The 27,847-nt window shown below is 40.4% G+C and overlaps 1 protein-coding gene across 23 annotated transcripts in view, besides 1 other annotated feature; it reads left to right on the forward strand.

The window, feature by feature from the left end:
• The window catches only part of ACOXL (acyl-CoA oxidase like), a 385,976-nt gene that overhangs the window by 318,919 nt on the left and 39,210 nt on the right, over positions 1–27,847 (forward strand). The gene's annotated exons all lie outside the window — the stretch shown is intronic.
• Positions 5,804–6,003: an enhancer, noted in NCBI's record as "active region_16379". NCBI's record gives its function as "activates an Ori minimal core promoter by ATAC-STARR-seq in GM12878 lymphoblastoid cells {active_cell/tissue: GM12878}" and the evidence as "EXISTENCE:reporter gene assay evidence [ECO:0000049][PMID:35858748]".

Consider the following 27,847-nt stretch of genomic DNA (forward strand, 5'->3'; position numbering starts at 1 on the left):
AGAGTCTTCTTCTGTCACCCAGGCTGGAGTGCAGTGGCGTGATCTTAGCTCACTGCAACTTCCACCTCCTGGGTTCAAGGAATTCTCCTGTCTCAGCCTCCCCACTAGTTGGGAGTACAGGTGTCTGCCACCATGCCTGGCTAATTTTTTGTATTTTTAGTAGAGATGGGGTTTCACCATATTGGTCAGGCTGGTCTTGAACTCCTGACCTCAGGTGATCCACCCGCCTCGGCCTCCCAAAGTGCTGGGATTACAGACATACGCCACTGCGCCCAGCTGATATTTTTTAAAATTATATTTTGCATGCATTCCTGCATTGTCAAACATTCCAATGTTGCATTCTACATTGTCAAGGGTAATTGAGATCTGAGCACAAATATTTAAAGGGGTACCATTAAAAATGCAGCTTGTATGGCAGGCATGGTCCATGATTGTCCCAGGCAGCCTAATTTTGACTCAAGTCAAAAGCCCCTCCCTCAATCACATAGCTCCACCTTGCCTAACCTGAGAAGATGCTCTATAGACAGACTGCCAAGAAGATGCAAGAGATGAACTTGGTTCATCAGATGGCTGAACCAAGGTCAGATTCCCCTGCAAAGACAAAAACATTGAGATTTTGAAGATGGCATAAGCCAGAACATTCATCTGACAACCAGGAAAAGCAGGAGGGACAGGAAAACAAGTGACTAGCCACCATTGCATAGCTAGTCAGCCGGCAATAGAACTAGGACCAGAAAGCTGGGCTTCTTCCTGCGGGGCCCACTCAGATGAGCAAATTCATAGAAAATTCCACCACTCCACCCCTTCAGCACCATGAGAGCACACACGGGAGGTGTGACTGCAGTGGAACCATGAGGGGTACTGTGGTGGCAGGCTTCTGGAGTCACTCTCAAGGCTTGTTAATCACATCCTTGTTGCTGGGGGTCCTGTAAGACAGGAGAAAGCCAGCTTCTCTGTGACTCAGTTTCCCATCTACCAAGCAGAGGTGGAAGCTGTTACTGGCTTAAGTAACAGACCCTGCAGACCCGAGAAGGGGGCTAGGGAAACGGTACCCAAGGGTAAGATAGCTGTTATCAGGAGTTGCCTCTCAGATTTCACTACAATTTGAACCATAGAACAATATTTAGATTCCATAAATTACTCATTTGACCCTGTTCGCGTTTGATCTCCATACCTACCTGTTTCTTCACTGATTCTTAGTCCTATTTGCCAATTAATCTCTTTGGTCCCTCTCGGTCACTACCTTGGAGAGCCCATTTGCCCTTGGCTCCACCTGCACTCGCCTGTGACTCCAGGTGTCACCTGAGCTCACGTCCAAGCAAGCTCAGCAAGTCTAAACCCCACCAGTTTCTGTCCTCCCACCCCCCCAATCTAGGAACTGTGGGGTAGTCTGTGGCACTTCCCTGTCCCGGAGCTGCCATGGAAGTTTCCATGTGTCTGTTCATCCTCTGCAGCCTCTTTCAGGGTCCTCCATCTCCCTCTGTCCCAGCAAAGAGTACCTGGACCTGACCCCTTAAGGACAAGTTTCTATCCCCACTCTGCCAGCAACTGGAGTGTAACCTTGAGCAGGTCACTTTTATCTCTTTTAGCCTAACGTCCTCTTCCAGTAAAAGAGGAGGTAAATTAGACCACCCCAAAGACCCTTCCAGCATCACACTCTGCAAAGTCATAAGTGAAAATTATCGACAAGGCTGCAATTCTAAATATGCTTGAGAATGAACCAACCTGGCCTTCTACCACTCGTCTCTCTCCTCCAGGCGCTGCCAAGTGAACTTGCTTGGAGCCCCACGTCCTACATGTCACTCTGTGGATGCATTTCTAGCCTAACTCCTTCTCATCTTTGGAATAGGGTAATCACAAAACTTATCATCCAAACATGGATTTTGTGTGTGTGTGTGAGTGAAAGGGGCACCATTAAAAATAGAACTTGGATGGCAGGCATAGTCCATGACTGTCCCAGGCAAACCAGGGCATTGGGTCAGCCTAGATTTGAATCAAGGCCAAAGCCTCTCCCTCAATCACATGGTTTGACTTTGCCTAGCAGGCCTCTTTCTCAGTGCTTGGTCCAGACCCTCCCTGTCCCCACTCCCACTAGGATTGTCCCCTCTTAAAAATCAGAGCCTCTGTTTAGGGTGGAAGTTGGCAGGAAGACAGATCTCCTGGTGACAGTCTGCACTCGCACCATCATTTACTGAATGTAAATGATCACACCTCCTCATTTTGTTCTTGCACACCTGGGAGTTTCTTACATATCTGGCAGCAGCTGCCTCCAATTTGGGTGGGAGATAGCCCCAGCCAGGGGCCTCCATGGGACTAAAACTTCCTGAAGCCATCGCCTGCAGAGCCTCCCTGCCTCCCTCGGATAAGCTGGAAAATATTTAAATAGAATGGTCAGAGGAAAGTGGCCCTTGCTGGTAAATGCTTCTGACCAGGTCAGGAGACAAGAGCTAGTATTGAAGGAGCTTTGGCTGATGGGTTATACCTGGAACAAGACAGTAGAACAAGGGTTGGCTCAGAGCAAGCCTTCCCTGCTCTAGTGATGTTGAGTGAGTGCCTGGAACATTCCCCATGCTACAGTCCCAGCTATGGCCTGGCTCGGTCACCTTGCCAAAGGTACCTGGCTAGAAGCACCATGGGAGGCTCAAGGCAGGCCTGTCTATAGGTGGATCTGATATCTACCACATTTATGGCAGCACACAGTAGAAAAACCAAGCTGCCTGTAGGAAAATAAAGCTTGGCTTATTTATAGCACTGCCTTGAATCTCTGCTCCTAAGTTGCAACCTTTGGCAGGGCTGTCACGCACCAGCAGCAACCATGCTCCCTCTTGTTCTAGGTGGAGGGCTGGCTGAGGTGGGCAGGCTGCTGGTGGTGCAACAGATGATACCTTGATCTAAGCAGACATGTAGAACAGTATTCATAGCTGCTGTCTACCCAGTGGGACATGCAGGGGCCCATCAGGGTCGGTGGGTACAGCTGCCAAGAGCTGCAGCCCAGGTTGAGCAAGCCTGCAGAGACAGCTCCCCAGGAAGGCTCCACTGATGGGAGGTGTGGGGGCTGAATGCTGCTGGAAGCTTCCTTAGGATTTCTTACCAGCCAAGTATGAATGCTGCCCCCAAATGCACAGAGACGCCTGGGAGCGTGTGGAAGGAGGGACGCCAGGCCTCCCTCCACGTCCCCTGCCACCATGGTCTGGCCAGATGCAACCCTTTCTCTGTCTAATTACATTTTAAGAAGTCAGACACATTTGAATCCTCCTGGCAACCAAAAATCTCCAAGAGATCGACATGACTCAACCCTTCAGTCCTCCATGCTTACTGAATACAACTTCTTCCCAGGCGAAGGCATTTTCCCCTAGCCTGATGGAATCCTGTCCAGAATGAGGGTTTTCACAAGAAAAACAATGCCTTTCCCTCAGCTTGGGAATGACTGTGCATGGAGGAGAAAGGGAATTTTCCACATGACTGCTCCACTGCTTCACCTCCCCACAGAAGGTTTAGAAGCACCTCAGCAAGCTGGTTGTCTAATGTTTCTTAAATTGTCATTGTCATAAAGATTCTTTCTGCTTCACTTCTTCCAAAGTTCTCCTCCTCACCCACCCCCAACCTTGGTCCAAGGCATAGTAATTGAGCCATTCAGTATCCAGCATGGGGACTGGTCCTGCAGGACCAGGCAGGTGCCTTTGTCTGCCTTTGTGCTCAGAGAAGGCCTTCACGCCTTTGGTTCTCGTAAGGTGCTCGCCACGGCAACCCAAGTGTCTAAGCAGGGCATTTGCAGGGGACTGTCCCCACCTCACAGGCGGCTAGCAGCAGCAGTTTGAGCCTGTCAAGTGGGTGAGGTGGGGTTTTTCCCTCTTTCCTGCATTCTAACTGCTTTTTCTTCCTTTTCTCAACCTGTGTAGGTGGTAGCTAGTTTAAGCACCAAACCTAGCAGCCAATAATTAACTACACACACCTTCCATCATGCACAGTGCAAACCATGATGTCCTTCCTTCTGCAGGTGGCTCTTGCCATGCCCAAGGACCTCATCTTGGCCCCATGCCATTGAGAGAGTCCTAAGCTCCGACCAGCAAGGGCTTCCCTCTGCCTCTCAAGTGGAGGCACTCAGGGGCTGCCCGTTGTGGCCACACACCCTGTGAATGCATCACATGTACCCACATCACCATTCAGTCATCTGGGGCTGGGAATGGGATTGGGCCTCCACATGGAAAAAAGGGGATTCTTTTCTGGGGTATGACTGCATTTCCAAACCCAGTCCAGGATCAGTAGTGTCAGTCCTTGTTCTGAATTCCCATAACACAGCTGATAAAGAGTGGCAGAGTTCCCATAACACAGGTAATAAAGAGTGGCAGATAAAGAGTTGTGGGTGGGCTGTGGTTTGGAATCCAGCCCTGGCCCCTTCTAGCTTTCCCTCCACCTTCTCTTATCCTCGTAAGCTAGAGCCACACAGAAAGAAGTAAGAGTGTGGCTGGCAGTGTTCCTAAAATAAGTTGTTCAACAAATGTTTACTGAGTCCCTATTGTGTGTCAGGTAGTGTTTTTCTAGTACCTGGCTCACTTGAAGAGTATATTCTAATGTTTTTATATTTAATAAGGGAAAAGATTTGGAGGCTAAGGCAGGAGCATTGTTTGAGCTCAGGAGTTCGAGGTGGCAGTGAGCTATGTTTATGCCACTGCCCTCCAGCCTGTGTGACACAGCAAGACCCCAACTTTAAAAAAAAAAAAAAGTTGGGAGAAGAACTACTGGTGACATAGAAATCAGGTTTCAGACCTACACTTCTAGCAACAAATGGTTTTCTCTCATTCCTATGCCATTGAAGCCCGGGATACTTCACTCTCTTCACTCCTAGAGGTCCCCTGCAAGTGCCAAGCCTATGTCAAGTATTCTGCAAAGCTCAGCTCAAACCAACCCCCCAAATTATTGGTAACAATTATCCCTCCTAATGAGCTTCAGTTTTGGAAAGGGATCTTTGAGGCATAGGGCTAACTTTTTAACTCAAAAAAATATATATATATTTAGGCCAGGCATGGTGGCTCACGCCTGTAATCCCAGCACTTTGGGAGGCTGAGGTGGGTGGATCATGAGGTCAGGAGATAGAGACCATCCTGGCTAACACGGTGAAACCCCATCTCTACTAAAAATACAAAAAATTAGCCGGGTGTGGTGGCACATGCCTGTAGTCCCAGCTACTCAGGAGGCTGAGGCAGGAGAATCGCTTTAACCCAGGAGGCGGAGGTTGCAGTGAGCCGAGATCGCACCACTGCACTTCAGCCTGGGTGACAGAGCAAGACTCTGTCTCCAAAAAAAAAAAAAAAAAAAATTTCATGGTAGTATGCCAGGCTCCATAGTAAGTCAGCAAAAGGGTCATTTTGGTGGCTTTCTGGACGCAGCTGGCATGGTCCCTCTTCGGAAACATTTTTGAGTGCCTACTATGTGTCCAGCACTGTGCTAGGCACTGAGGGCACAAATATCCATAAAATGTGGCCCTCACCCTCAGGTAGCTCCTTGACAAATAGGTGAGACAGACACTTCAGCACCTTGGAGTGGGCTAAGTGCCGAGAGCAAAGGAATTTGGGAAGCTAGTGGAGCACTCAGTTGGGCACTCAACTCAACCTGGGTTTAGGGAAGACTCCCCTGAGGAGGTGATATTTGAGCTAAGTCCCCATGTCTCTGCAGGAATTTAAATTTAACCAACTGTGTGGGTTCCACTGTGCATGCTGGTGGTGTCGATGTGACACGTTGTGTTCTGACTTTTCCATTTATAGAGTGTTTCAGGTGCACTGATGCATGCCTTGAGAGCTGACTGCCAAAATAGGGGCCCCAGACAGCTGCCTTCCCAGGGGAGGGGTATCCAGAAACTTCCATTCTTGCTGTGCACATTTCCCCAGCTGACCTATAGCTGTCTTGAAATTATAGCATTCAATATTCCTTCCTTGGCTCGGAAGACTTTACGGGCCTTCCAGTAGTTAATGTCAAAGTTAGGTGTCTCTGGGAGGGAATGCAGCAGAAGCCATCAACAGCTAATAGTTGCTCTAGAATTATTCTGAAAGCATGGTGTCCAGGCCAGGGGCCAGGAGTAGAGAGGGAGAGGGGTGGTAGGGGATTAGGAGGGGGAAGGCAGAGGGGTTCCCTCTCTTGCCACAAACAGATCTGCTCTGCTGTCTGTGCATTTACACTTCGCCTAGCTCCTCCACAAAGTTCTGCTATAAGGAGAAATGGGCCAATGTCTTTCCAATCCAAATGCCATCAGAAGCAAGCTCTACATGTGCCCGACTGCCTAAGAGGAGCATATGAGCGCACAGATGGCAGCAGTATATGAGGACATTACACCTGCTCTGCTCCTTGATACTTCATTGTCAAGCATCTAAATAAGTATCTAAATGGAGAACCAGCTAGGAAGTACAAATCCTGGTGTTCAGAAAAGCAGCGAGCCGCCCAGGCGTGGAGGGTGCAACGCTTTGGGGATGCCTACCCATGCGAGTCTAGCACGGCTTGCGGGTGGGGTGTTCCTTCTTGAATGATCTGTTCTCCATTTCCTCTGTGCACAGCTCTGGGGGCAGATTTCATTTCAGACTGCTTTAGAAGACAGGACAGCAGGAGAGGAAATCACTAGAGACAAAAGAAAATTAGAAGGATTTGGTAGAAGTCATATATAGGAAACTGAGAGCAAAATTTGGCTCTCGGAGACTAAAGTTAGTGGGAGGAGAGAACAGGGCCTGGCCAAGACTTATCATTTCACCATTTAAATAGAGATCAAGATGCTAAAGTTCCCAGGAGACATCTCTTTTGTGACTTGCCAAGAGCACGGAGAAATTCCATCAGGGAGCTTCTGAGATATGGATCCAGACTAGCAGACATTAACAGAATTACCAGGTGTCTAGGGGGATCCCAGACTTTTCAGCACACAGTGAGGGGGATGTAAACACTAAAGTTATATGGGAAGTCACGCTGGATGGATTGACGAAGGCAGCAAAGCCTAGCAGTCACACTGAAGCAGCTCCCTGCCGTCAACCAACCACATTTGCACCCTGATTAAAAACTGGAAACGTTAAGAGACTTGAAGATTTCTGCTCTCTGCACCTGCTTAACTCTTCCTCTTGCCCTTACTAAATTTTAGCTGCTTTCTTTTTGGCTAATTTCACAATGTTCAAAAGTCTATTGGAAAAAAAGAAACCCACAAAGCACCATAGATAAAAACTTTGAGATGGGGAAAAAGAAAAATACTGGTTTGATCTGCTCCCTTCCTCTCCCAGAACCCAGGAAAATGCCCAGTACACAAGAAGCAAGGAAGGGAAGGATAAAAAAAGGAGGGAGGGAATTAGTTCTGGATGAAATGTCAGAAAAATGGCCACCATGAAGGCCCCAGTCAACCAATCACTTCCTCTTCTTGGGTCTCCTGATGGAATGTTTTCATCTTTGGGAAAATCTTTCCACCTTTATCTCTTCTAGAACTGTAAAAATGACAGGATGAGCCAGGGCAGTGTCTCATGCCTATAATCCCAGCACTTTGGGAGGCTGAGGAAGAAGGATCACTTGAGGCCAGGAGTTCAAGACCAGCCTGGGCAACATAGATCTCTACAAAAAATTCTAAAAAGTAAATTAGCCAGGCAAGGTGGTACATGCCTGTAGTTCCAGTTATTCAGGAGGTTGAGGCTGGGGAATCACCTGAACCTAGAAATTTGAGGTTACATTAAGGTATGATTGAACCACTGTACTCTAGCCTGGGCAATACAGCAAGACTCTGTCTCTATAAAATAATAATAATAGTAAAAAACTGGAATTGGGATGGGAACAAGGCAACTTGGTGTGTTCCTGAAAACCTTGCCTGATGGAAAGGGCAGCTAATAACAGCCTATTGATAATTGATTAATGTGTTACATTTTGAAAGTACACAAAACATAACATTCAATATCAGGATTAAGATTTATTACATAAGTGAGACAAACCTTCTATTAAAAGTGGAAGGCTCTCAGATTGGATGAAAAATAACACCCAACCATACAATATATATTTCAAAAATGCACATTTTTCCCAGGAAGATGCTGGAGACATACTCATCCCTATTCCTTCTGCTAAGTCCAACTAAAAACACTGGACATTACGTTTAAAACAAACATAAAAGATTCTGAAAGGTAAGAACTAGAAAGTAGACCAAGCTAGGAACCTCAAGACCCAAAGAATGACACAGCAGGAACTCCCTGAATTTTGTTTGTGCCTCATACATTCCAGAGTTAGAGCTGAAGAAGCTGGCAACCTGGAAAAAGCTAACGCACACAAAGGAAAAAAAAAAAAGAGAGAAGAAGGGGTAGAAGAAGGAGGAGGAGGAGAAGGAAGAGGAAGAGAGAAAGGAAGAAGAGGAGAAGAAGAGGAGGTAAATGAGGAGGAGGATAAGGAGGAGAGGAGGAGAAAAAAATGAGGAGAAGAAAGAGTAGGAGAAAGAGAAGAAGGAGGAGGAAGAGGGGAAGGGGTAGGGGAAACAGAAGACTCCTCCTGCCAGGCAGCACAGAAAAATATGTGGTCCCACCTTCACCCATGCCAGGAAAGGCCCAGTGGGGAGTGCAGACTCCACACTCACGAGACTACAATGAGGCAATGCAACCTCACCACTATGGTTGTCAGAGGAGGCCTAGTAGGGAGCTGGGGTTTTCATCTCCACTTGGCAGTAATGAGGCCTCCCTTCCCCTCCTGCCTCACTACAGTGACACTGGAGACCATCTGGGGAGCCTGGACTTCTTCCTCTACCCAGCAATAATAGGTCAGTCTGCCCCCTCCCCACTGCGGTGGTGTCAGAGAAGGCCAAATGGGGAGAGTCAAGACTTTAACCACTGGCTCCAATAGTAATGAGGCCACCCCCTGGTAGCGTCAGTGGAGACCATCTGGGGAGCAGAAATTAGGGACCTCTACCCTTCCCAACCAGAGTGGGATCAGCAGGGGCCTAGTGGGAGCCAGCACCCCACCCCAGCAGCAACGAGGAGCATCTCCCAACCTTGGTGGTCACAGAGGTTGCAGTGTATCACCCTCCCCTGATGGTGCAGCATCACAGGATGTTACCTAAGACAAGGTTTAAATAAGATCCAGAATTTCATCATAGAATACCAAAATGCATAGTTTTCAATCAAAAAATCACTCACAATACCAAGAACCAGAAAATATCAAACTGAATGAAAAAAGCCATCGGTAGACACTAATATCAAGATGACAGTGATGCTAAAATTATCTGGAAAAGGTTTTAAAGCAGTTATTATAAAAATGCTTCAATGAGTAATAGTGAACATACTTGAAACAAGTGAAACAATAAAAAATCACCAATAAAATCATCTCAGCAAAGAAACAGTAAATATAAACAACCAAATGGAAATGTTAGAACTGAAAAATATAACAACTGAAATAAGAATCTCAGTAGATGGGCTCAACAGCAGAATGGAGAGAACAGAGGAAAGAATAAGTGAACTGGAAGATACAATAGAAATGACTGACTCTGTACAACAGAAAGAAGATGGAATGAAAAACAAAGAGAGCAGAGCCTCAGGGACCTGTGGGACTATAACAAAAACTAAATTTATATCATTTGGGGTTCCAGGAAAAGATAAAAAAAGAAGATGGAGCTAAAAAAGTACTCAAAGAAATAATAATTGAAAAATCCCCCAATTTGACAAAACCCATAAACCTACGGATTCAAGAAGTGAATGACCAATAGGATACATCAAAGAAATTCACACCAAGACACATCCTAATTAAAGTTCTGAAAACTGAAGACAAAGAAAGTCTTAAAAGCAATGAGAGAAACAACATTTTATCTCTAAAGAGAAAACCAATTCAAATGACAGCATATTTCTCATCAGAAACCACAGGGGTCAGAAGAAGTGATACAACATTTTTAAAGTGTTAGAAAAAAAGGAACTGTCAACCAGAAACCTATGTCCAGTGCAAATATCATTTAGGAATTAGGAGGAAGTCAAGCTATCCTCAGATTAGCTTGATTACCCAAATAAGTACACTAACAAAGTGGAAAGAAGTTCTCTAAACAGAAGGGACATGATGAAAGAAGGAATCAAGAATCATCAGGAAAGAAGAAAGAATTCGGTAAACAAAGATGGTAAATTCAATTAGCTCTCCTTCTCCTTTTGAATTTTCTCAATTATGTTTGATAATTGAAGTGAAAATTATAACACTGATGTGATTCTAAATAGATGTAGAGAAAACATTTTAGACTATTATAAACAAGGGAGGGCAATAGGATGTAAAGGATGGTAAACTTTCCACACTTCAAACTGTTGATGCACGTAGACCATGAAAAGTTATATATACAAAATGTAATACCTGGAGTAACTACTAAAAAACTACTCAGAGAGATGCACCCCAAAGCACCATGTATAAATCAAAATAAAACTCTAAAAAATGCCCAAGTCATGCATGGTAAGCCAAGGAAGAAAAAAAAGAAATGAGAAAACAAGGAGAACAAACAGAAAACAAGAAATAAAAAGACAGTCTGAAACTTAATATATTAATAATTATATTAATTTTGAATAATGTAAAGGCAAAAATTTAAAGACAGATGGTCAGAGTGGATTAAAAAACATGAACCAATTATATGCTGTGTATAGGGTGATATAGATAGGTTGAAAGCAAAAGGGTCAAAAATAACACATCATGCAAATATTAATTAAAAGATAGCAAGAGCGGCTATATTAATATCAGATAAAGTGACATCAGAACAAAGAAAATAATTGAGACATAGAAAGACAGTCTATATTAACAAAAGTGTCAATCCACCAAGAAGATAGGGCACTGCTAAAGGTATGCACCAAACATGACAGCTACAAAATATGTGATGTGAAAACTGATAGAACTAAAAGGAGAAACAGACAAGTCTACAATTACAGTTACAGACTTCAACACTCCTCTCTCAACAATTGAGAGAACAACTAGACAGAAAATCAAAACACATAAAAAATCTTAACACCCTTAGCATATAGGATCTATGGACATTTTTGGAACACTCTACCCAACAACAGCAGAATGCATTATTTTCAAGTGCCCAAGAACATAAACCAAGATGGACTGTAACATGGAACATAAAGCAAACCTCAAAAAATTTAAAAACCTCAAAAGAAATAAAAATACGTTGAACAGAATGAAAATGAAAATACAACACGTCAAATTGGTGGAACATAGCCAAAACAGTGCTGAGAGGGAAACTTACAGCTTATTTTAAGAAACAGAAAAGTTTCAAACCAGTGACCTAAGCTCCCACCTCAAGAATCTAGAAAATATAAAGAGAAAAATAAATGCAAAGAATGCAGAAGTAAGTAAATAATAAAGATAGGAGCAAGAATCAATGAAATTGAAAACAGAAAAATAATAGGGAACAACAACGAAACAAAGAGCTAGATCTTTTAAAAGATCAATAAAAGTGACAACCCTCTGGCAAGACTAACAAGAAGACACAAGCTACTAGAGTGAGACAGATTATATTAGTATATACTCTGTGCACATCAAAATGGTAGTAAGATAATACTAAGGAAAATTCTATGCCCATAAATTTGACAATTTAGATGAAATAGACTATTATTCGAAAACACACAATACCACAGCTTTCTCAACATGAGATAATTTGGATAACCTTATAACTATTGAGTAAATTAAATTCACAATTTTAAAAATTCAGAAAAAGAAAATTCCAGGCCCAGATACTTTCAGTGGTTAATTTAGAGAAGAATATCCATCAGTTCTTCACAATATTTTCCATAATGTAGAAGAAGAGAGAACTTTTACCAATTCATTTTTTGAAGTTAGTATTCTCCTGATACCAAAATCAGACAAAGACAGAACCAAAAAGAACTACAGACCAATATACCTTATAAACATAGACATAAAAAATCCCTAACAAAATATTAATGGGTAGAATTTAGCAATATATGAGAAGAATTATACACTGACCAAGTGTGGTTTGCTCTGAAGACGCAAGGCTGGTTCAATTTTTACAAATAAACCAATCTAATTCTTCATATTAACAGGAAAAAGAGAAAAAAAAATCACATTATCATTCCAATTGATGCAGAAAAAAGCATTTGACAAAATTCAACAATTACTCATGATAACAACTCCTAGACAAATAGGAAGAAAGTGGAACTTCCCCAACTTGGAAAAGAGTATCTACAAAATTCCTATAGCTAACATTATACTTAGTGGTGAAAAATTGAATGCTGTCCCCCTAACACTAAAAACAAGGCAAAGTTTGGTCTTACTATTTCTATTCAATGTAGTACTAGGAGTTCTAGCCAGTGCAATAAGGCAAGATACAGAAATAAAAGACATATCCTTTTAGATAATAAAGGGAGACAAAAGTAGCCCTGTTTGCAGATGACATAATTGTTTATGTAGAAAATTCCAAGGAATCTACAAGAATGAAGCAAGGAAAGAAGGAAGGAGAAAGAAATGAACGAAAGAGAGAGAGAAAGGACGGAAGGAAAGCAGGCAGACAAGGAAAGGAATTCCTAGAACTAAAAAGTGACTCAGCAAGGTTGCAGATACAAGGTCAACGTTCATTCATTGTATTTCTATATATAGTTGTCCCAAGGTATCTGTGGGGGATTGATTTCAGGATCAACACTCAGATACCAAAATCTAGGGAGGCACAAGTCCCTTATATAAAACTATGTAGTAGGCGGGGCACAGTGGCTCACGCCTGTAATCCCAGCACTTTGGGAGGCCAAGGTGGGTGGATCACGAGGTCAGGAGATCGAGACCATCCTGGCTAACACAGTGAAACCCCGTCTCTACTAAAAATACAAAAAATTAGCCGGGCGTGGTGGCGGGCACCTGTAGTCCCGGCTACTCGGGAGGCTGAGGCAGGAGAATGGCGTGAACTTGGGAGGCGGAGCTTGCAGTGAGCCGAGATTGCGCCACTGCAGCCCGGACTGGGCGAAAGAGCGACACTCCATCTCAAAAAAAAAACAAAAAAAAAACAACAACTATATAGTATTTGCATATAACTTATGCACAAAGATACCTACTTTGTCATCCCTAAATTACTTACTATATGTAATACAATGTAAATGTTATGTAAGTAGTTGTTGTATTGTTTAGGGAATAATGACAACAGAAAAGACTGTACGTGTTCAGTACAGACACAACCATCCTTTCGTTTCCCAAATATTTTTGATCTGTGATTGATTGAATCCATGGATGCAGAATCCGTGGATATGGAGGACTGACTTTACTAGTATCGGACACCTGGAAACCAAAATTTCAAAAAACACCATGTACAATGTCTCAAAAAATTAGAAATACTTAGGTATAAACCTAACAAAACATGTAAAGGACTTGTATGCTGAAAACTACAAAATGCTAATGAAACAAATCAACGTAGAGCTATAAAATGGAGAGATATACCATATTCATCAATTGGAAGATTCAGCATAGTAAAGATATTATTTATCCCCATATCGAATACAGGTTTAACCTAATTTTTATCAAAATTTCAGCAAGATTTTTTTATTGCTATAGACAAACTTATACTGAAATTTATATGGAAAGGCAAAGGAACTAGAATAGCTAAAACAATTTTGAAAAAGAATAAAGTGGGAGGAATCAGTCTATCCAATTTTAAGACATATAACTATAGTAATGAAGACTGTATGGTATTGGCAGGTGAATACACACATAGAACAATGGATAAAAATAGGGAGTGCAGAAATAGACCCATACCAACATGCCCAACTGATTTTTTTATGAAATGGCATGAGCAACTCCAGTGAAGTAAGATAGCCTTTTCAACAGATGGTTCTGGAATACTTGAACATCCATAGGCAAAATAAGAAAAATTAAAGAACCTTAATCTAAGTTCCACATTTTATATGAAATTTAACTCAAAATAGATCATGGACTTAAATGTACATAAAATGTAACACTGCAAAAACTTTAGAAGTAAACATATAGAAGAAAACCTTTGGCAACTATGGTTAGACGGTGAGCTCTTAGGGTTCACACCCAAAGCGTGATTCATAAAAGGAAAAACTGATAAACAGGACATCATCAAAATTAAAAGCATTTGTTCTGTGAAAGACTATGTTCAGAGTCTGAAAAGACAAGCTACAGTCTGGGATATGTTTGCAAAGCACATATCACACACTAAGGCATAGTACCTACAATATACAAGGAACAATCAAATGTAAACAGGTTTTTAAAAATCCAGTTAGGAAAAGGGCAAAAGATAAAAACAGGCGTTTCACTCATGAGGCTAGAGACGGCAAATAACGCATGAAAAGACATTCAACATCATTAACCATTAAGGAAATGCAGATTAAAACCATAATAAGATGAACTCTTTCCCCCTAACACTATTGACCTATCAGAATGGCTAAAATAAACAACAGTGATAACACGTAATGCAAGTGAGGATGAAGAGAAACTGGATCATTCATACATTGCTGGTGGGAATATAAAATGGTACAGCCACTCTGAAAAAGAGTGTAGCAGCTTCTTAGAAGACGAAACACATGCTTACCATACAGCCCAGAAATTACACTCTTGGGTATTTATCCCCCCAAAAATGAAAACTTGTGTTCACACAAAAACTTGCATATTAATGTACATAGCTGCTTTGTTCAGAATAACAAAAAATCTGGAAACAAACCCAATTTTCCTTTAATGGGTAAATGATTAAGGAAACTGTGGTATGTGCATACCATGAAATATATATTCTTTTGCAATGAGAAAGAATGCACTATTGATACATTCACATGGGGAATCACCAAAAAATTTTGCTGAGTGGAAGAAAAAAATACCAAAAGGTTACATACCATGATTCCGTTGATATACCAGTCTTGATATGACAAAATTATATGGAGAGATAACAGATTAGTGGCTGCCAGTGGTAAGGATGAGGAGATGTTTGCAGAAAGAGGAAGGAAGTAGGTGTGGCTGTAAAAGGGCAACATAAGGGACCTGTGTGGTGATGGAGATGATCTGGATCTCATTGTATCAATATCTATATGCTGGTTGTGATGTTGTACTATAGTTTTTTAAGATGTTACCATTGGGCGAAACTGGGTAAAAGATACCCAACATATCTCTGTATAATTTCTGACAATTGCATGTAAATCTACAATTATCTTGAAATAGAAAAATTCATTTAATTACATAAAAAAGCTTAAAAATGCACTGAAAACAAAGTTTTTCAGAAAAGTTCAAAGAAACAAAGAATGATCAAGTAAATAATAACAATAACAACAAAATCAGGGTTATTGTATTAAATACTGAGCCAGGGTTGAATTCAAGACAATAAAAATTATTGAATGAGAAAAGACACAATAGTATAAAGGTCATAGTCTCTAATGGGGATTTAACTCTCATACATTTTACGCATGATATGAAATAATACAATTATACATAAAACAAGACACAACTATAGGAAAATCCAGGAGAAATCCCAGAAACTGCATAGTTCTATGAGAATTTTAACTCATCTCTTACCAAGCCATGAAAAAACTTTGAATGATAAAAATAAAGTTGAGTAACGGACATATATTGAATTTGGTTCCTGACAACAGATACTGCATCTTCTTTACAGAGTCTCATAAAACTTACAAAAATGGATCATATATTAATCTATAATGAAAACCTCAGTAAATTCCACAAAGTAAAAATAGCTTGAGTGGCATCCTTTGCATCAATGAGATAACACTAGAAATAATGAAGTAGAACCAAAAAACCCCACCTTAGTCACTTACAAATTTGGCAGTCTTTTAAAACTCATATTTGATCAAAGCAAAAATTAAAATATAAAATTCTAAATAGCTAAGAAATAATGATAATGGAAATGTAAACCAAGCAGAAAATAAAACATACCTTTAAACTTTGAGAAAGGATGAATCAAGTATCCAATTTAAGGTGCATTTTTATAAGTGCTATGAAAAAAATAAATATGAAAAACACAAATACATTAGAAAACAGTAGGTTGGATTTTTTAAAGTCAAGCTAATTCTCCGGAAAATAAATGGGCAGATAATGAACTAGAGAAATCACTGACTCGCTTAGTCAAGAGAAGAAGGTGAGAGAACATACTCTGAAGTAGAAACAAAAAAGTGGAGATAAATACAGGTACCTAGAGACTAATAAGTAATATGGAAGAGTATTCTGTCACATTATTTACAGCCAAAATTCAAATGTTTGGTGCAATGGGTGGTTGCTTTAGGAAAATATAAGTTGCTGGAAAAAATGGAAAATCTAAAAGTTTCATAACAATGGAATCAAAGTAACAAACCAAAGTATCAAAGAACAGTGCATTCTACAAATATTTATTGAGCCTCTGTTATATGCCAGGGCCTTGGGAAGTCCAGGGGAGGGGGAAATGGCCCTGCTTTCAGGGAGCTCTCTGTGAATTGGGAGTGCGGGGAAGATAAGCCCTCAGTGTCATAAGAGGTCAGTGGCCAGGGGCCAGATGGAGGTGGGAGAGGGAGAATCCTGTGTGCCATGATGCTGCCCCGTGCCCCTCTCTTGGACTGTTGGGAGAATAAAAAATCATGGGGTCCCCAGGGCCTGACACCTAAAAAATACCCCACAAATGGAAGCTGCTCTTGGCTCCCCACCCACCCCCTATACAGTGAAAACAGAGGAGGCGAATGGGGGCTGTCCTCCCAGGCCATCCGGGATAGCTTCCCAGGGCATCTATGGATCAGAATCTCAAAGGATGAGTTGGAAGCAGGAGAAAAAAGGTGTTGGAGGCTGAGGAACAGCATGTGCAGCAGTCATTAGGTGAAGAAACGGTGTGCGTGCTGGAGCTCCCCACATGGTTTTCTATGACTGGAGCACGGGGGCGTGACCTGGGGGTATGGTGGGGCTGAGGCTGGGGCCGGGTCACAGAAGGCCTTATATGCTGTGGTGAAGAGGTCAGCAAGATTTAGCTGAATGTTCTTAGATACACAGGTATAAAGGAAACCCAGGTGAGCCTTGAAATTTCAGCACCCAAAGGAGCCCATCAGTGAATCCTCTTAAGCTGCTCTGCATAGGTTCAGGATAAGCCTGAAGTGGCTGGTTTTTAGATGCAGAGAAGGCTCTGACCTGCATCCACATGGCCCCCAAGGCTCTGTGGCCTGTGGTCTAGCTGCAGAGGATAGGAGGAAGCTTTTCAAGTTATTACTGGATGGGCTATGCTCAACAGGTTTTTCCAGTTCTGCCTCTAGGGAGTCTTGCCCAACAATTAATCCAGATGGTCACCGACGGGTTTCTTTCACCTATAAATCCTTGAAGCCTCTTTTTGACCCCAACACCACTAATGCAGGCTTCCTCTGTTTTCCCATAGGATTTAGAGGATTCTTCTCAGCTCATTCTGGCCTTTCTTTTCTCACTGCTGTCATATTTGATGACACAGGAAAAATTAGCAAGGAAGGATAGAATGGTGGATGAATACATACATACATACGTGTATAAATGGCTGTGGCTTGAGGGATTTTTCTGAATTTTCCTGAAATACAAGTGGATCACTGGAATGAAAATGTTCCGTGGTCATTGCTTCCTGAATTCTAATGTGCTCCCTATGGTGTATTTTTTTGCTAGGTTGTTATAACAAAATATGGCAGATGGCCGTCTTCTCGCTATGTCCTGGCCTTTTCTCTGTGCATGCACGTCCTTGATGTGTCTCCCTCTTCTTTTTCTTTTTTTTTTTTTTTTTTTAATTTGAGACAGAGTCTCTCTCTGTTGCCCAGGCTGGATTGCAGTGGCGGGATCTTGACTCACTGCAAACTCCGCCTCCCATGTTCAAGTGATTCTCATGCCTCAGCCTCCTGAGTAGCTGGGATTACAGGTATGCGCCATCACATCTAGCTAACTTTTGTATTTTTAGTGGAGATGGGGTTTCACCATGTTGGCCAGGCTGGTCTTGAACTCCTGACCTCAGGTGATCTTCCTGCCTCAGCCTTCCAAAGTGCTGGGATTACAGGCATGGGCCACCACACCTGGCCTCCCTCTTCTTATAAGGACATCAGTTATTTTGGATTAGGGCCTCACCCTAACAGCCTCATTTTTACTTAATTATCTCTTTAAAAATCTTATCCTCAAACACCACTGGGGGTTGGGACTTAAACCTAACAATTTGGGAGGGACACAATTCAGTCCATAACACACAGCTTTTAACCTTCGAAGTAAAGACTCTAAGTCCAAAGTCAAGGACAGATGGGGAATTGGGGGTGACAGTAAGTTGAGTTGAAATCAACCCAATTTTGGATTTTAAAAAAAGTCAGGGAGAAGAGCCTGGCCATATGCTCCTCCATGAATCACCTCTCTGCATGCAGAAGAGGTAGGTATGATTCTGAGCCAGTCTACACAGTAGGTTATGTAGGAGCCCCAAAGGGAATAACCTTGCCTCTGCTTGCAAAGCTGTGCTTTTTGAATTTGCTCCTTCCCATTGGACATGGTAAAGGCACTGCAACACCACAAGGGGGACAGTGAGTTTGCCAAAGCATGGTAACCCACAGGTGCTGCAGCCAGCCCTGTGACCCCCCAAATAGAAGAAGAAGCATGTCCGTCGGCCTGCCCTCAGGACTCAGAAGCAGCAGGGCTCCAGTCCCCTCTCTGTCCAAGCGTATTCAGCATGCCAGTAAAAAGATGTCTTTGAGCTAAAAAACAGAACTACTCTTCGACCCAGCAAACCCATTACTAGGTATATACCCAGAGGAATATAAATCATTCTACCATAAAGGCACATGCACGTAAATGTTTATTGCAGCGCTATTCACAATAGCAAGGACATGGAATCAACCAACGTAGATGCCCATCAATGGTAGACTGGATAAAGAAAATGTGGTCCATATACACCATGGTATACTGTACAGCCACAAAAAAGAATGAGCTCGTGTCTTTTACGGGAACATGGATGGAGCTGGAGACCATTATCCTTAACAAACTAATGCAAATACCAGAACAGAAAACCAAGTACCACATGCTCTCACTTATAAGTAGGAACACATGGACACATAGAGAGGAACAACAGACACTGGAGCCTACCTGAAAGTGGAGGCTAGGAGTAGGGAGAGGAACAGAATAACTACTGGATACTAAGCTTAGTACCTGGGTGATGAAATAATCTTTACAACAAACCCCTGTGACACAAGTTTACCTATATTACAAACCTGCACATGTACCCACGATCCTAAAATAAAAGTTAAAAAAAAAAGTCTTTGCTTACCTTCTCCAGAGCTTTCCTCTGTCTCCCTTTGTGCTTGTTGATTTTACTTCTTGTAGATGGGTTTTCTGTACTTTTCATTTCCCGCCAGTTGAAGCGGCCAGGATACAGCTATGTTTCATCTTTTCAGTAAGGCAGAAAATAGCATGTGCCTTGGGTCTGACTGTCTGTGGCCTGTTCCTGCTTTCCCTCGTGGCCTGTATGTTTGATCCATTTCACCAGCGCATGGCCCACCGTTGCCTAACTGTGATACTCAGCTCCCCAACCTCAGGAAGAGAAATAGTCACCCCTGCTTCAGAACATGGTGGTGAAGAGAGCCATCTTGGGCTACTCAAAATCCAAAGACTTAGAAGGAAAAGCTCAGATTCATTCTCAACCCTCCTCTCCCCAGAGCACTTGGCTACCAGAAAGATCCAGCTGCCACTGCCTGTCACCTTTCTAAAGAAGCATAGTTTTTAAGACACAAGACTATTGAGCAGGTTGGATTTTAAAAATTGGGAAACATCTCCAAGCAGTTTGGAAGGAAAAGAGACTCTGATCTTGAATAACCTCCTCAGGGGATCAAAGAAAAAGACCCACTAAGATGAACATCCCCCCTCTTGCCCCATTCAGGTTAAGTATAAATAAGACTTGCCCACCTTGGGAGACCTGAGCTCACACCTGCTGCTGATGACATGGAGGAGACTGAGCAGGGGAGCCACAGGGATTAGAGATGGGCATTGTTCCAGTCTGGCCCAATTTTTATTCACTTTCCTATTGCAAGGAATGCCCTTAGAAATTGCAAAGCCATTGCATTTTGCTAATGCTAACAGAAATTCCTTAAACTAGGAGATTGTGCCACTGCCCATCAATTTTACAAGGCAATAATGCAGATCCCAAGTGGCTAAAGTCTGAGGCAGAAGGCAGAGCACTTCATCACAGTGAGAGAACTGGGTTGTTGCTGGGGGAAGCTGTTCTGATATCACGCTGGTATTACCATGCATTAATAAGCTTTGTTCATCTTCTCTGACACTGGAGGGCCAACCCTTTTGCTTCATCTTCCTGCTTATTATGCAGCTCAGGCCATGGAGATGGGCTGCCTGCTTGTCATAAATTGTAGGCAAACTCCCTTCGTTCTGTTGTTGGTCCCAGTGGGCTTGAGCTCCTGGGAACCAAGGCTTTCAGTTCCACAAATGCACACTGAGCCCTGATGCCAGGCTAGGCCCTGTGGGGAACTCCAAGATACATGAGCCACAGTTCCTGCCTTTGTGATCGTGTTGTGGTCAGGGAGAAAGTCACATGGCCTAATAATTATACCAACAGGCAGAATGTGTAACAGACAGGAAAACAAACAGCTGTGGGAACTCAGGAAGGGAAGGAGTAACTTTCAATGAAAGAACAGGGAGATCCTTGGACAAGGTTTCAGTACATAGACACTTAGAGAATGCAGCCGTTTCAGCCTGGAATTTGCCATAGCAAAGAAGAGGGAGCCCAGAAATAAGAAGATGACACACGAAATATATGTATATGTAACCAGAATAATTTAACCATCCTAAAATAATCCTTTATGCTATGGCTCCATAATTGTTCTCTCTCTCTTCCAGCAGCCCCTGGTAACCAATGATCTATTATTCTTCATCACTATAATTTTGTCTTTTTGACAAAATTCCATATAAATGTAATCATACAATCTGTAAACTTTTGATATGGACTTCATTCACTCCGCATGATGTCTTTGAGATTCAGCCAAGTGGTTGCATTCATCAACAGTGAATCATTTTCATTGCTGAGTACTGGTCCGTTGTGTGGATTAGCAGAGTTTGTTTTTCCATTCACCCTTTGAAGGACATTTGGGTTATGTCCAGTTTTTGACAATTGTGAGTAGAGCTGCTATAAGTATTCATGTACAGATTATTATGTGAACATAAATCTTCATTTCTCAAGGACCAAGTTTCTTACCTCAACATTGGCACTGCCAACCTTGACATCTGGGGCCAGATACTTTGTTGTGAGGGAACTGCCATGTGCATTGCAGAATGTTTAGTTTATCCCTGGCCCCTACTGATGCCAGTAGAACTCTGCCAATTGTGGCAATCAAAATGTCTGCAGACACTGACAAATGCAAATATCATCCACACCTGAGAACCACTGCTCTTGGTTAAATACCCAGGAATGAATTTACTGGATTATATGGCAAGCATATAACTTTAGAAGAAACTTTTTGTTCCTGATGTATGAGAGATCCAGTTACTCAGCATCCTAGCTGACACTCAGTATTGTGTATTTTTTATTTTTCCTATTCCAATAGATATATAGAGGCATCTTACTGTGGTTTTAGTTTGCATCTCCCCAGTAGCTGATGCTGTTGAAAATCTTTCGATGTGCTTGTTTGCCATATGTATCCCCTTTAGTGAAACTGATAAAATCATTTTCCCATTTTTAATTGGATAATTTGTTTTCCTACTGTTGAGCTTTGAGAGTTATTTATAGATTCTAAATACAAATTCTCTTTTGGATATGTGACTTTTGCAAATATCTTCTCCCATTGTATAGTATGTATTTTCATTTCCTTATCAGTGCCTTTTGCAGAGAAAAGTTTTTTATTTTGATGAAATCCAATTTATCCATTTTTCTCTTTCATGAGTTATGCTTTTGATGCCAAACCTAAGAACTCTTCGTTAAACCTCAAGTCATGAAGGTTTTATCTCATTATTTTTCTAAAAGTTTAAGAGTTTTTTTGTTTTACATTTAGATTTATAATTCATTTTGACCTGATTTGTCTGTAAGATGTGAAGTTTAGGTCAAGATATGCTTATCTTTTGACTATTGTGATATCAAATTGACTATTGTGATATCTGTTGAAAATACTATCCTTTCTTCATTCAATTCCTTTTGCATCTTTGTGAAAAAATATTTGGACATATTTGTGTAGAATTATTTCTGGATTTTTATATTTTGTTCCCATTGACCTACGTGTATATTTCTCAACCACACTATCTTCATTAGTATAACTTTATACTAAGCCTTAAAATCAAATAAGATAATTCCTCTGACTTTATTCATCTTTGGCAAATTGTTTTAGTGATTCTAGTTTCTTTTCTTTTACATGCAAATTTTAGAATCATTTTGTCTCTATCTACAGAAAATTCATTGGTGATTTTGATTGGAATTATAAAAAATCTATGGATCAGTTTGGGAAGAATTAACAAATGTACTATGTTGACTCTTCCGATCCATTTTATTAGTTCCTCTTTGATTTCTTTAATCCAGATTTTTTATTTCCAGCATAAGGATGATGTACATGTTTTTGTAGATTTATAACTAAATATTTCATTTTGGGGGAAGCTGTGGTAAAAAGGTATGTTGTTTTAAGTTTTGCTTTCTAGTTGTATGTTGCTAGTATTTAGAAATATAATCAATGTTTTAATGTATTGACCTTGTATCCTGTAACCTGCTAAGCTCGTTATTAGTTCTAGAGGATTTAGGGCATGTCGGGGGACATTTACTGTGTGTTGTTTTTTTTTTTTTCTATGTAAGCAAGCATGTTGTCTGTGAATAGCAACAGTTTTATTGTTTCCTTTCCAATTTCCATGGCTTTGTTTTCTTTTTCTTGCCTTGTTGCATTGGCTAGGATTTTCAGTATGTGATGAATAAGAGTGATGAGAATTGACATCCTTACTTTGTTCCAGATCTTAGGCAGAAAGTGTTCAGCCTTTTGCAACTAGATATGATATTCTCTACAGGGCTTTCTGTGTGTATGTGTGTTTTTCTCTTGTAATTGTCCTTAATCAGGATAAGACAGTTCTCTTCTATCCCTAGCTTCCTAAGAGATTTTTTTAAATCAGGAATTAATGTTAAATTTTGCCAAATGCTTTTTCTGCATCAATTGATATGATTATGGTTTTTTTTTCTTTTTTAGGTTGTTAATATGATAAATAACAATGTCTTTTGATTTTTTTTTGGAAACCAGGTCTCATACCATCTCCCGTGCTGGAGTGCAGTGGTGCCATCACAGCTCACTGCAGCCTTGACCTCCTGGGCTCAAGTCATTCTTCCACCTCAGCCTCTCAAATACCTGGGACTATGGGTGTGTGCCACCATGCTTAGCTAATTTCTATATTTTTTTTAGAGACAGGGTTTCACCATGTTGTCCCAGCTTGTCTCAAACTCCTGGGTTCAAGTGATCCACTCACCTTGTCCTCCCAAAGTGCTGGGACTACAAGCGTGACCCATCTAATGGTTTAGTTTTGAGTATGCAACTGGCCTTGCATTCCTAGGATAAAGTCTACTTGGTCATGATGTATTATTCTTTTTATATATTGCTGCATTCCATTTGCTAATAAATTGTTGGGGATTTTTGCATCTATGTTCCTGAGAAATCTTGGTCTGTAGGTTTTTTTCTTCCTGTACGATCTTTGCCTAGTTTTGGTATCACAGTAACACTGGCCTCATAAAATGAGTTGGGAAGGGTTCCCTCCTCTTCTGTTTCCTGGAAGAGATTGTGTAGAATCAGTGTTATTTTTTATGTAAATATTGGGTAGAATTCACCAATGAAACCATTAAGGCCTAGAGATTTCTTTTTTTTACAATCTTTTAACTATGAATTACATTTTCTTAAACTTTAATGAGATGATTCTTGTTATGTATTTCATTTCGTATGATCCTTGGTAACATGAAATATTCAAGGAATTACTTCATTTCAGCTGTTACCAAATTATGTGTGTAAGGTTGTTCATAGTGTTTTATTTTATCCTTTTGATTACTGTGAGGCTGTACTGCTTTCCCTTCTTTCATTTTTGATTTCAGTAATTTGTGTCTATTTTTGTCTTTGTAAATTTGTTAGAACTTTATCAATTATCTTTTTGAAGAACAACCTTTACTTTTACATTTATTTTTCTCTATCATATTTCTATTTTTATTGATTTCTGTTTTTATATTTATTATTTATTTTCTTCCAGTTGCTTTGGGTTTTACTCTTGTTTTTCTAGTTTCTTGAGGTATACTTAGATTATTGATTTTAGACTTTTCTTCTTTTCTCTTGTAAGCATTTTATGCTATAACTTTGCCTCTGAGTACTACTTTTCCTGCACCCCACAACAACTTATATATTGCATTTTCATTGTTCTCCACTTCTAATTTCCCTTGAGACTTCCTCCTTGACCCATGAATTATATATAGAATTATATATAGAAGTATGAGGTCTAATTTTTAAGTGTCTAGAATTTGTCCTGTTCTCTTTATGTTATTGATCTCAAATTTATTTCTATTATAATCAGAGAAGATACCATGTCTAATTTATGTTTAGATTTTTTTAATTGTCAAAATTTGTCTTGTTACCCAGGATATGGTCTATCTTGGTGGATATTTCATTTGTCCTTAAAAAAATGTGTATTTGCTATTGTTGAGTAGAATGTTATAATGTCAAGAAGATCTAGTTGGTTGATAATGTTCTTCAGTTCTTTGTATCCTTGCTGATCTTCTGTCAATCAGCATTCTGTCTATCGACTGATAATCTCAGTCCTATCTATTACTGAAAGAGTAAAGTGACATATTCAACTATGCCTGTGGATCTGTCTACTTATCCTTTCCATTCTGTCTGGTTTTTGCTTAGTATATTTTAAAGCATTGTGTGTGCATTCACATTTAGCATTATTACATCTTCTTGTTTCATTAGCCTTTTTATCATTATGTAATTCCCTCTTTATTCCTGGAAGTTTTCTTTTTTCTGAAGTCTACATTGTCTGATATTAATATAAATACTGCAGGCTTATTTGGATTAGTTTTTGCTTTGCATATTTTTTGTCCTTTTAGTTTTACATCTATCATTTTATTTGGAGTTATTTTTTGGTACACAACTTAGGTTTTTTTAAAACATTTATTTTAAAATTTGTCTCTTGATTGGTATGTTTAAACTATTTACATTTAATGTGATTATTGATATGTTTGGATTAGGTCTGTCATTTTATTTGTTTTCTGTTTTCTCTTCTTTTCATTCCTCCATTTCCTCTTACATGTTGTGTTAGTTTCCTATGGCTACTGTAACAAACTACTGCAAGGTTGATGACATAAAACAACAAAAAATTATTCTTTCATAGTTTTAGAGGTCAGAAGTCTGAAATCGGTATCACTGATCCAAAATCAAGGTGTTGGCAGGATTGCGCTACCTTTGGAGGCTTCAGAGAATAATCCATTCCTTGCTTCTTTCAGGCTCTGGTTGCTTCTGGCATTCCTTGACTGTGGCCAACTCGTTCCAGTCTCTCTCTCCGTGGTCACATTGCCTCCTCCTCTTCTGTCTGTGAAATCTCTCTCTTATAAAGATGCATGTGATTGCATTTAGGACCTACCTGAATAATCCAGAATAATCTCTCCATTTTAAGAATCTTAACTACACCTGTAAAGGCCCTTTTCCCTTATAAAGTAATATTTGCAGATTTCAGGAATTAGGATCTGAAATTAGGATTCAGGAATTTGGATGGCTATCATTCAGCCTGCAACACTTACCTTCTTTTGAATTACTTGAACATTCTTTAGAATTTCATTTAAAAGAAATTTAACTATATCTCTTTGCATATGTGTTTTTCTGTTTAGTAGTTGCTGTAAGAACTACAATATATATACTTAACTTTATAATTTACTTAGAATCAATATTTTATCTCTTCAAGTGGAATGTAGAAACCTTACCACCATAGTGTTCCTCTCCCCTCTTTCTGTCATATGCATCTTATCAGTACACCTACATACCCTGGAAACCACATCAGACAATATTTTGCTTTCAAATTTTGCTTTCAATCATTAAACATGTTTTAAAAGAATTATGAGAAGAAATAGTTTATCATATTTATTCAGCTGTTTACCCTTTCTGTTGCTCTTCCTTCGTTCCTGATTGGTATTTACCATTTCCATTTTTCCTTCCTTCATTTTGCTTCTGCCTGAAAAACTGCTTTTAACAATTTTTTTAGAGCAGATTTGCTGGCAACAAATTCTGTTTTCTCATTGGTAATTTTTTAAATCTCATCCTAATTTCTGAACGATCATTTACACGATATATAATTCTGGATTGACAGTTGTTACTTTCAGTACTTGAAAAATCTTTCTGGTCTCTACAGTTTCTGATGAGAAATTCAATCATTCAGATTGTTTTTCTCCTAGAGGTAATGCGTCAGTTTTTCTTCAGCTGCTTTCAAGAATTTTTCTTTGTTTTTAGATTCCAGATGTTTGATTATGATGTGTCTAGGCATAAATTTCTTTGTGTTTATCCTGTTTGGGGTTCACTAAACTTCTGAAACCTGCACATTTGTGGGGTTTTGCCAGATTTAGGGAGTCTTTTGACATTATATCTTCAAGTACTGCCTTCTTTCTCCTCTCCTTCCGTGATTCCAATGACATGAAGGTTAGACCTTTTGTTACAATCCCACAGGTCCCTGGGGCTCTCTTTTTCTTTGCCAGTCTATTTTCTCTCTGTTGTTCAGATAGGATAATTTCTATTATTCTATCTTCTAGTTTACTCAGTCTTTCCTCTGTCTCCATAGTTCTGCTTTGGAGCTCATCTTTCTTTTAATCAGGTTACTTTTCAGTTCTAAAATGTCTACTTGATTCTCTTTTATGTTTTATATTTCTTTCTTTCTTTTTTTTGAGACAGAGTCTTACTCTGCCGCCCAGGCTAGAGTGCAATGGCGCGATGTCAGCTCACTGCAACCTCTGCCTCCCATATTCAAGCAATCTCATGCCTCAGCCTCCCAAGTAGCTGGGATTGCAGGCACCCACCACCATGCCCAGCTAATTTTTGTATTCTAAGTAGAGGTCGGGTTTCACCATGTTGGCCAGGCTGGTCTTGAACTCCTGACCTCAAGTGATCTGCCCACCTCAGCCCCCCAAAATGCTGGGATTACAGGTGTGAGCCACCACACCTAGCCTGTATTTTCTATTTCTTTACTGAAATTTACTATTCTACCATTTGTTTCAAGACGGTTTGTGATTGTTCATTAGATAATTTTTAGAATGGCTACTTTAAAGCTTTTGCCAGATAATTCTAACATCTGTGTCATTTTGCTGTTGGCATCCGTTGATTGACCTTTTTCATGCAAGCTACATTTCTCTTCTCCTTCATATGCTGAAAAATATTGGATTATTTCCTAGACCTTTTGAATATTATGTTATGAGATTCTGGATGTTGTTTAAAACCTATGGAGAATGTTGATGTTTTTGTTTTAGCAGGCTATGTACCTGGTTATGTTTGGGCTGCAAATTTCAATGCACCTTCTGTTGATTGTGATTCCAATGTCGGTTTGGCCCTCAAACCTTTTGCAGCACTATTTAGCTATGTTCCGTGTATGCACCACTAACAGGCCAGTCTGGCATCTGAATTCTCATCTGTTTACTAGTTCAGTTATCAAGGCCTTTTTTTAAAAGCTGTACATGTATTTGTTTACTTATTTTAAAAGTTTTTATAAATTTATGGAGTACAGTGCAATTTTGTTAATACATGCATATATTGCATAGTGGTAAATTCATGGATATTAGGGTTATTCCTTGGGTATTCAGTAGGGTATTCATCACCCAAATAATGTACATTGTACCCATTAAGTAATTTCTCATCTATCCCCCCAGCCTCTCGACCTTCTGAGTCTCCATTGACTGATTCCACATTCTGTGTCCTAGTGTATATACATTATTTAGTTCCCACTTATA

This window comes from Homo sapiens, chromosome 2 (genome assembly GCF_000001405.40).
Source record: "Homo sapiens chromosome 2, GRCh38.p14 Primary Assembly".
In the NCBI taxonomy this organism is placed as follows: Eukaryota; Metazoa; Chordata; class Mammalia; order Primates; family Hominidae; genus Homo; species Homo sapiens.